The sequence below is a fragment of the Homo sapiens genome, chromosome 2 (assembly GCF_000001405.40).
Source record: "Homo sapiens chromosome 2, GRCh38.p14 Primary Assembly".
Taxonomy (NCBI): Eukaryota; Metazoa; Chordata; class Mammalia; order Primates; family Hominidae; genus Homo; species Homo sapiens.
In genome coordinates, this window is record NC_000002.12 from 202,506,148 (window position 1) to 202,517,104 (window position 10,957).

Genomic DNA, 10,957 nt, shown 5'->3' on the forward strand with positions numbered 1-10,957 from the left:
TTTTAATTTTTAATTAATTAATTTTTTTTTTGAGACAGAGTCTCACTCACCCAGGCTGGAGTGCAGTGGTGTGATATCAGCTCACTGCAACCTCCGCTTCTTGGGTTCAAGTGATTCTCCTGCCTCAGCCTCCCAAGTAGCTGGGATTACAGGCACACACCACCAAGCCCAGCTAATTTTTTGTATTTTTAGTAGAGACAGGGTTTCGCCATGTTGGCCAGCCTGGTCTCAAACTCCTTACCTCAAATCCTCAAGTGATCCACCCACCTTGGCCTCCACTTTACAGACATGAGCCACCATGCCTGGCCTTTTGTTTTGTTTTGTTTTGTTTTTTTATAAGGGCCCAAACCCATTCATGAGGGCTCTACCCTCATTATATAATTACCTTCCAAAGGTTCTACCTCCATATACTGTCACGTTGGGGATTTAGGCTTCAACATACGAATTTGCAGGGCACATATTCTGTCCATAGGCCGGGTGCGGTGGCTCACACCTGTAATCCCAGCAGTTTGGGAGGCCGAGGCGGGTGGATTACGAGGTCAGGAGTTTGAGACCAGCCTGACCAACATGGTGAAACCCTGTCTCTACTAAAAATACAAAAAATTAGTTGGGCGTGGTGGCATGTGCCTGTAATCCCAGCTACTTGGGAGGCTGAGGCAGGAGAATCGCTTGAACCCAGAAGGCAGAGGTTGCAGTGAGCTGAGATCGCGCCACTGCTCTCCAGCCTGGGTGACAAGAGCGAAACTCTGTCTCAAAAAACAATAACAGCAAAAAAATTAGCCGGGCATAGTGGCGTGCACCTGTAATCCCAGCTACTCGGGAGGCTGAGGCAGGAGAATTGCTAGAGCCTGGGAGGCGAAGGTTGTAGTGACCCGAGATCGTGCCATTGGACTCCAGTGTGTGCAAGAGAGTGAGACTCTGCCTTAAAAAAAAAAAAAAAAAAAAGGAATTCATTAAATGTTCAGCTGTTTCTTCCTCCTCACATGTACAGTGGTGTCCTCCTCCACTCACTGCTTTACCTAGGATAAGAGCAGCCTTGGGTCTCTTCACTCTTGGAAGAGTCTTTTCATATTCTACTTTTAAATCCATTTAGTTTCCTTTTGTCCTTAGATCTTATTTTTAAAGAAAAGGTTATGATTTTTAGGTTTTCTGACTTGTTATCAGGGAAGTGTTTTGGCTTGTTACTAAGATGGGAATAAAATTCTTTGCATCTTTGTATACTCTAAGCAGAAGTGGGAGTCACTTTTTTTCACATTGGTCGAGACAGCATCTTGCTCTGTCACCCAGACTGGAGTGTGGTAACACAATTATGGCTCACTGCATCCTCGAACTGCTGGGCATGAGCAGTCCTCCTGCCTCAGCCTCCCAAGTAACTGGGACTATAGGCATGCACTACCACACCCAGCTAATTTTTTATTTTTTGTAGAGACAAAGTCTTGCTCTATCACCCAGGCTGATCTCAAGCTCCTGGCCTAAAGCGGTTCTCCCAGCTTAGCCTCCCAAAATGCTGAGATCACAGGCATGAACTACTGTTGCCTGGCCTTTTTTCATCTTTTTTTTTTTTTTCCTGAGATGGAGTTTCACTCTTGTTGCCCATGCTGGAGTGCAATGGCGCCATCTCGGCTCACTGCAGCCTCTGCCTCCCGGGTTCAAGCGATTCTCCTGCCTCAGCCTCATGAGTAGCTGGGATTACAGGCATGTGCCACCATGCCCGGCTAATTTTTGTATTTTTAGTAGAGACAGGGTTTTACCATGTTGGCTAGGCTGGTCTCGAGCTCCTGACCTCAGGTGATCCACCCGCCTCAGCCTCCCAAAGTGCTGGGATTATAGGTGTGAGCCACTGTGCCTGTCCCCTTTTACACATTTTAACATATGTGATATGATAAGTCATTTTATCTTATCTAAAAAGCTGTCATTTGAGGCTATTATTATTATTATTATTATTATTATTATTATTATTATTATTTTTGAGTCTCAGTCTGTCACCCAGGCTGGAGTGCAGTGGTGTGATCTTGGCTTACTGCAACCTTCGCCTCCTAGGTTCAAGCGATTCTTCTGCCTCAGCCTCCTGAATAGCTGGGATTACAGGCACGCACCACCACACCTGGCTAATTTTTGTATTTTTAGTAGAGATGGGGTTTCACCATGTTGGTCAGGCTAGTCTCAAACTCCTGACCTCGTGATCCACCCGCCTGGGTCTCCCAAAGTGCTGGGATTACAGGCGTGAGCCACTGCACCCAGCTGAGTCTATTATTTCCTTATCACCAAGAAAAAGAAATACCATCAAGTAATTTTACAATGCCACAAATATGATATATCCCACTGTAGGAGATTTTAAGGTGTGATCAATGTATGTATTAAAATTGATGAAATATGGGAGTTGTCACCTATGTAAATGTGAACTTGATTGTTAACTCTGGCAGAATGTCCACTCAGCAGCAACCCTTCAGTGTTTCTGTCAACAAACCATATGAGAAGTCAGATGAGTTGTATTGTTTGAAAATGTTTCATTGGATAACAAAATGTTGATGGTTGCTAACGCTTAGTGATGGGCATTTGGAATTTGTATGTACACTCCACTTCTGTATATAGTAGTAAGTTTTTTATAATAAAAAGATTAAAACTAGAACAAGCAACCTTCCATTGGCACTTTCTGGCATGATCAAGAAAGCATCTGCATTAAAATTTTCAGTGTCGTGTTAGTGGATGGAAAGAAAATTCCAGAGACAAAAGTCAAAAGAATGTTTTAAAGAAATGTTGGGTTATGATCTCAGTGATGTTTTTAATGACACATAAGGTAGAAATGTATGGAAAAATAGGACACAGTTGACAAATTTGAAAAGATATTCAGAAGAATCTAACTCTAAATATGAAAAAGTTTTAGGAATACCTACACCAATTTATTTTGCATCTGTTTTTCTTTTTACAGGCTGTATGAGAGTGATTTTAATAATCTCTGTCCAAATAAGTCTAAAGGAGCTTATCAAGAAGTAAAGCATAACATTCTAGGGGATAAGTCATAGTTGGTCGTAGTTTAAGCAGCATACTTTTTAGTATCTCTTATTTTGAATAAAAAAAAATTAAGTACCATGTATATAGTTAATCATTTTTAGTGTTTCCAAGATACTGCTTTTCTTCATAGGCTATAAAAAGCTTTTGTTGCTTATATTAGTAACAAAAACAATTTTGCAAATGGAAACATTTCTAGAAACCTTACTATTTATATTAGTATTATATAAATTTATCCAATTTCCAGAAATTTGGGTAATGCTAAAATCACTTTCCAACAACTAAGACTAGGAAAATTGTCATTTCTATTTTGTAATAAAAGCTTGATAAAATACACATTAGTTAGCTATATGCAATGTTCTCATAATTTAGTAAAAGCAAAAAAAAGCCTAGAAAGCTAAATCTTAGTGGAAAAATCTTTATTATTAAATTTTCAAATGTACTAATTCTGTGCTTTTTATGTACAACTTTTGGTTTTTCAGGTTTTTCCAAAATCTAACCTTTGTTACATTAAAATTTTAATATTTTATTTAATTGGTAATGTCCTTTAAATAACATTAATCTAAATTTTCAATACTGAAATTTAAACATGTCCACATATTTAAGAATTAAAAATTAGATTTTTAAAAAATAAAATTAGATTCCTTATCACTTCTCATTCCTAGTTGAATTCAAAATACATTTTTCAAATAAGTAATATGGTTCAGTTCTTTTGGGAATTATAACATTGGATATCTTAACTCATTTCCAGAGACAGTTTTATCTGTAATGCCATATTAATATTACATTTAATATTTAATTTTATTTTTTATACAGAAGACAAGATAATCTTTATTAACTCATATTTACTTGAATTACACAAGAATGTAAGAACACATTTAAATATTCAGTGTTTCTCATTTGGATGTGGCAAAACTTTGTTTCACGTTAGACTACGAATTTTTTTATTGTAACAAATATTTAAAGAAATACCAGTTTTTGGCTGGGCGCGGTGGCTTATGCCTATAATCCCAGCACTTTGGGAGGCCAAGGTGGGCAGATCACGAGGTCAGGAGTTCGAGACCAGCCTGACCAACATGGTGAAACCCTGTCTGTACTAAAAAATACAAAAATTAGCTGGGTGTGGTGGCGCGTGCCTGTAATCCCGCTACTTAGGAGTCTGAGGCAGAAAAATCACTTGAACCCAGGTGGCGGAGGTTGCAGTGAGCTGAGATCGTACATCTGTGACATGGATAATATTCAGTGATAAAAGGAAATGAACTGCTAAGCCACAAAAAGACATGGAGGAACCTAAAGTACATATTGCTAAGTGAAAGAAGGCAGTCTGAAAAGTCTGTATATTGTATCATTCCAACTATATGACTTTCTGGAAAGGAAAAACTATAGGCACATAAAATATCCTTGTATAGTCATGAATCTATAAATTATTTAGTTTTGTGTGTGTGTATGTGTATGTATTGAAAATAGTTTATCTTTTAGGTTTAGCAAATTCTAAAATGAGGTTTTTTTTGTTTTTTTTTGTTTATTTGTTTGTTTGCTTTTGAGACGGAGTCTTGCTTTCTCACCCAGGCTGGAGTGCAATGGCATGATCTTGGCTCACTACAATCTCTGCCTCCTGGGTTCAAGTGATTCTCCTGCCTGAGCCTCCTGAGTAGCTGGGATTACAGGCAAGCGCCACCATGCCCAGCTAATTTTTGTCTTTTTAGTAGAGCTGTGGTTTCACCATGTTGGTCAGGCTGGTCTCAAACCCCTGACCTTGTGATCCGTCTGCCTCAGCCTCCCAACGTGTTGGGATGACAGGAGTGAGCCACCGCACCTGGCTTTAGTTTTTTTTTTTTTTTTTTGATTGAAGTAAAATTCACATAACTTAGAATTAGTCATATTAAAATGTACCACTCAACACATTCATAGTGTTGTGCAACTATTACCTCTGTCTAGTTCCAAAACATTTTCATCACCCCACAAGGGAAACCCTGTATCTAATAAGCAGTCACTCCCTATTTCTTCCTCTCCCAGTCCCTGGCAACTACTAACCTGCTTTCTGTCTATGAATTTGGCCTATTCTGAGTATTTCATTTCAATGGAATCATAGAATATTCAACCTTTTGTAAATCCTTTGTAGGAATATACCACATTTTGTTTATCCATTCATCAGTTCATGAACATTTGTGTTGTTTCCACTTTCGGGTGTTGTAAATAGTGATGCTGTGAACATGCATGTAGAAGTTTTTGTTTGAACACTTGTTTTTGGTTCTTTCTGATATATGCCTAGGATTGGAATTGCTGGGTCTTATGGTAATTCCATGTTTAACTTTTTGAGGAACTCACAAACTGTTTTCTACTGTATACTTACCATTTCATATCCCACTTGCAATGTACAAGAGTTATAATTTATCCACATCCTTGCCAGCGCTTTTTATTTTCTTTTTTTTTAATTGTAGCCATGCCAATGTATGTGAAATAATATCTCACTGTGGTAAAATGAGTTTTATATGTAGCTTTTCTGCCTGTAACTTACTCTGTATGTTAAAAGGAGGCACAATGATCAATGTGTTAAAATCTATTAATATCTGAAAAATGGGCTGGGCACAGTGACTCACACCTGTAATCCCAGCACTTTGGGAGGCCAAAGTGGGCACATCAACTTGAGGCCAGGAGTTCAAGACCGATCTGGTTAACATGGTGAAACCCCATCTCTACTAAAAATACAAAAAATTATCCAGGTGTGGTGCTACAAACCTATAATCCCAGCAACTCAGGAGGCTGAGGCACAAGAATTGCTTGAGTCTGGGATGTGGAGTTTGCAGTGAGCTGAGATTGCACCACTGAGCTCCAGCCTGGGCGACAGAGCAAGACTCTCTTAAAAAAAAAAAAAGAAAGAAAGAAAAAAGAAAATATAATAAATGGTCTGCAAATTAAGAGTATTTCAGTGTTGTTTCAACATATCCTTCTATAGAAATATAGTTTAGACATTTTAATAAGCAACTTCTACTTAATTTGATTGAGACAAATAAATTCATTAAAACAGGAATGCCCATTAGAGGAACTCTTTGCCGTAGAGGCATCCTACTTTGCCATAGAAGCTTCTAATTTGAGTATAATATGCTTGATTTTGATTGAATATAAAGAATGAATAAAGATGCTGGCAGTCATCAAGCGCAGCTTCTGATCAGTATTACCAAACATTGCATAACTACATCTAGTTAAACAATGAACAGCTCTTTCATAGGGCAACTCATTCTGTTTTAGACAGGTCTGTTTATAAGCCATGCTTTTCTGTATGCTCAACTAAAGGCTCTTATCCTTGAAGATACACTGATTGGAACTGGTTATTTGATGTGAAGACAGCTATCATATCCTCCCAAGTTTTCTTTTTTTTCCTCATCAGATGCTTTCAGTTCTTTCTACCCATCACAGTTCAGAGGTCTCAAACCTTCATAGTTGTACTTGCTCTCTTTTGGATATGCTCTAGTTTGTGGCCATCCATCCTAAAGGGTATTTGCTCTAGATGCGATCTGACCCACAGAATGGAACTTAACACATAAAATGTTTACATGTTTGTGATAGCCCTGTGATTTACCTATGTGTGTTCCCATTCCATTCTGCAAGTGAGTAAACTTGGGCTCAGATAGGAGAAGAAACTTTCCTAAGGTCATATGTTAAGTGGAAGAAGTGAGCTTCAAGTCCTATTCAGATTTAACTGCCTCCAAAGCCATGCTATTTTCATTAATAAAAATACCAATATTGATAAGTGTAACTACCATTTATTGCGTAGATAATATATGCTTTTTTAAAAAAAAACTTTAATTTTTTTTTTTTTTTTAAAGAAACAGAGTCTCACTTCATCACCCAAGCTGGAGTACAGTGATACAATCATGGCTCACTGCAGCCTCAAACTCCTGGGCCCAAGCAATCCTCCTGCCATAGCCCCCTGAGTAGCTGGGACTACAGGTGCATGCCACCATGCCTGACTAATTTTTTTTTTTAATTTGTTTTAATGTCTGGCATTTTGCTATGTTGTCCAGGCTGGCCTTGACCTTGTGGCCTCAAGTGATCCTCCTGCAGCAGCCTCCCAAAGTGTTGGGATTATAGGCATGAGCCACTGTGCCCAGCCAGATAATATATTCTTGACGTTGTGTTAAGTACTTAGACTACCATCTAAATCTTACAGCTAACTTGGGAAATACAGAGTACTATTTTTATAAATGAGGAAATTGAGGATTTAAAACCAAATGTGATTCTAAAACTGTTAGATTCTAAGACTCTTGATATTATACTATCCTGTCTAATCTGTTTCATGGTATTGTTGATGTTTTAATAATTAGGAGCACATCTACTTGGTGTTTTAGTGTTCCAAATCTATACAGAATAGTCTGTATGATTAAAAAATATAATTTGTAATTATCACATTTATTACTAATTTTTTCTTTCATTTCCTTTGATGCAAAAACATTACTAATTTGATTATACATGGGTACAGCCTTTCTAAAGGGCAGTCTGTCAGTATTTAACAAAATACTTTTTTAAAAAAAAATGACATTTCAAAATTTGTTTTCTTTTAGGTCCACCTCATTCATTTAACCGAGATGAGACAATAATCATTGCTTTGGCATCAGTCTCTGTATTAGCTGTTTTGATAGTTGCCTTATGCTTTGGATACAGAATGTTGACAGGTAAAAATTACCATTTTTTGTCCTATTGTTTATTAAACATGCAATTTAATCAATTTATTTGCTCCTTTTAAATTCCGTATGTTAAAAAAAATAGTCTCAAAGTTATGCAAAATACACCCAGCCTCAATAGTATCACGTATGGACAGTATTGTTTCATTTAAATTATCAGTCACTACCCCTTTCCATGCCACTGGATTATTTTGAAGCAAATCACAGATATCATATATCTGTAAATATTTAATTAGATATTATATATCTATAAATATTATCTCTACAATACAAGAGCTTTTTTTAAAATTTATTTTATTTTATTTTATTTTATTTTTGAGACGGAGTCTCGCTGTCGCCCAGGTTGGAGTGCAGTGGCGCGATCTCGGCTCACTGCAGGCTCCGCCCCCCAGGGTTCACGCCATTCTCCTGCCTCAGCCTCCTGAGTAGCTGGGACTACAGGTGCCCACCTCCTCGCCCGGCTAATTTTTTGTATTTTTAGTAGAGACGGGGTTTCACCGTGTTAGCCAGGATGGTCTCGATCTCCTGACCTCGTGATCCGCCCGCCTTGGCCTCCCAAAGTGCTGGGATTACAGGCGTGAGCCACTGCGTCCGGCCAATACAAGAGCTTTAAGAATACATATCCATAATACCATTTTCACATCTGAAAAAATAACAGTAATTCCTCAGTATCATCAAATGTCAAGTTGGTTCTAATATACTTTAGGTTTGATGGACTGTTTAGGAAATCAGCGTTCATTGATTCATTTGAATAACTTCTATACAATCTTCTTTAAAGTTTTTATAATATTGCTTAGGGTTTTAAACTTTTAAAGTAAGTCATCATGGGAGTGTCTCCCAGAATTTGGCTTTCATGCTATTCTGCATTCATCTTAATTTATAGGTATTACCTAGTTTAGTAAATAGCTTTACTCCTATTGACATTAGGCATAAATCTTGCTGCTAATCTTTCTGCAGCTCTTCTTTTTAAGTGTAATATTATAAAAAGTGTAAAAAGATATTCATTTTAAGAAAACCATATATTAGTAACCTGTTTCCTGTTCTTATAGGAGACCGTAAACAAGGTCTTCACAGTATGAACATGATGGAGGCAGCAGCATCCGAACCCTCTCTTGATCTAGATAATCTGAAACTGTTGGAGGTAAGTTTGCCGTTAGATTATGGACTGTTGTTTCTACTGTGATACTAGACCTGGAACAGTGACTTCATTCAATCATTAAGACATTCATTCATTTATTTAACCCTATTTACTAAATTACAATTTTTTGTCAAGGCCTATTCTAGGCACTAGGAACATAGGTGAACAATGTCTCCTGGGGCTTCTATTTGAATTGGGGAGTCTACAGACAGGTACAGGAATGTATAATATAATTGCAAGTAGTAGTAAGTGCTATGAAGAAAAGTACAGTGGATAAGAAAGTGATGAAAAGGGGGTTATTAAAGAAAATATGGGCCAGGCGCAGTGGCTCATGCCTGTAATCCCAGTACTTTGGGAGGTTGAAGCTGGTGGATCACCTGAGATCAGGAGTTCAAGACCAGCCTGACCAACATGAAGAAACCCTGTCTCTGCTAAAAATACAAAATTAGCCAGGCATGGTGGTTCATGCCTGTAATCCCAGCTACTCAGGAGGCTGAGGCAGGAGAATTGCTTGAACCCGGGAGGCAGAGGTTGCGGTGAGCCGAGATCGCACCATTGCACTCTAGCCTGGGCAACAAGAGCGAAACTCTGCCACAAAAAAAAAAAAAAGAAAGAAAGAAAAAGAAAATATGGCCAGGTGCAGTGGCTCACGCCTGTAATCCTATCACTTTGGGAGGCTGAGGCAGGGGGATCACTTGAGGTCAGGAGTTCAAGACCAGCCTGGCCAACATGGTGAAACCCTATCTCTACTAAAATACAAAAATTAACTGGGAGTGGTGGCGCCCGCCTGTAGTCCCAGCTGCTTGGGAGGCTGAGGCTAGCGAATTGCTTGAACCCAGAAGGTGGAGGTTGCAATGAGCCAAGATCACGCCACTGCACTCTAGGTGACAGAGCAGGAATCCGTCTCAAAAAATAAAAAAGAAAAAGAAAATATATTTAGAAAGAGGTTGACCTTTGATTAGAGATTTGTACAGGGTATGAGAATAAAGACATGAAAGTTTGAGAAGAGTGTGCCACAAGGGATCCATAATAGACAACAAATAAATACTCCTTGTCTGCATATATTACATATTTTTATAGATACATAAGGCTCTTTTATATAGAATTTAAGTTTCATTTGGTGATATCTCAGAAGCTACATTAAAAGTGTTACCATGATGAGTGTTTTTATATTTATTAAGAATGACTTGAAAACTATGGTCCCCAAACCAGAGACTATTAAATAATAGATGTGATAGATTTGACTATATAAAAAATTGTAAGAACTTTCTGTTTTGGGAGAGACATACCATAAACAAAGATAAAAGCCAAATTTGAAAAATAAATTTCAACATTTCAACATATAAGGGAAAACTTGATAAAGAACTGATATAAATCAAGATGAAAGAAACATTCTATAGCAAATGGACAAAAAGGCTGAGTGCTGTGACTCACACCTGTAATCCCAGCTCTTTTGGGAGGCCAAAGTGGGTGGATTGCTTGAGCCCAGGAGTTCAAGACAAGTCATGGGCAACATGGTGAAACCCCATTTATTTTGTAAAAAATACAAAAATTAGCTGGGTGTGGTGGCACATGCCTGTAGTCCCAGCTACTCGGGAGGCTGAGGTTGAAGGATCACTTGAGCCCAAGAGGTAGAGGTTGTGGTTAGCCTAGGTGACAGAGACCCTGTCTCAAAAAAAAAAGGACAAAAGGTATTAACTGCCAATTCACAAAAGAAGTAAGTGTGGCTAAGAAATGTACAGTAAGATGTCCAATTTACAAGGCTGAAAGAAATACTAGTTAACCCATGGAATTTTAGCCATGATTAAGTGATAGAAACACTTCCAAACATTGCTGAATTAACTATATATTGATATAACCTTTTTAAAGGACACTTTGTATAATTTTGATCTGGAAACAGTGTATGAAACACAACATATATCCTTAAATAAATGATGGTAAATCCCCAACCTGTTTTAATAAAAAGTAAAAGCAATCCCCAGAAGCCAAAAATAACGAGAATGGGTTACATTTTGCTGGTTCTTTGGGTGTTGAGTAATTTTTTTGTATTCTGGATATTGTGAATATTGTATTGTGGAACACTGAACTCAAAAATTAGCTGGGTATCATGGCACGCGCCTGTAATCCT

The 10,957-nt window shown here is 38.0% G+C and overlaps 1 protein-coding gene across 2 annotated transcripts in view; it reads left to right on the forward strand.

The window, feature by feature from the left end:
- Positions 1-10,957, forward strand: part of BMPR2 (bone morphogenetic protein receptor type 2) — a 191,423-nt gene that overhangs the window by 129,821 nt on the left and 50,645 nt on the right. For both annotated transcript variants that reach the window (NM_001204.7, XM_011511687.2), the window contains exons 4-5: positions 7,572-7,682; positions 8,741-8,832. In NM_001204.7, coding sequence (NP_001195.2) covers positions 7,572-7,682; positions 8,741-8,832 — 203 coding nt within the window. The remainder of the gene's footprint in view (positions 1-7,571; positions 7,683-8,740; positions 8,833-10,957) is intronic.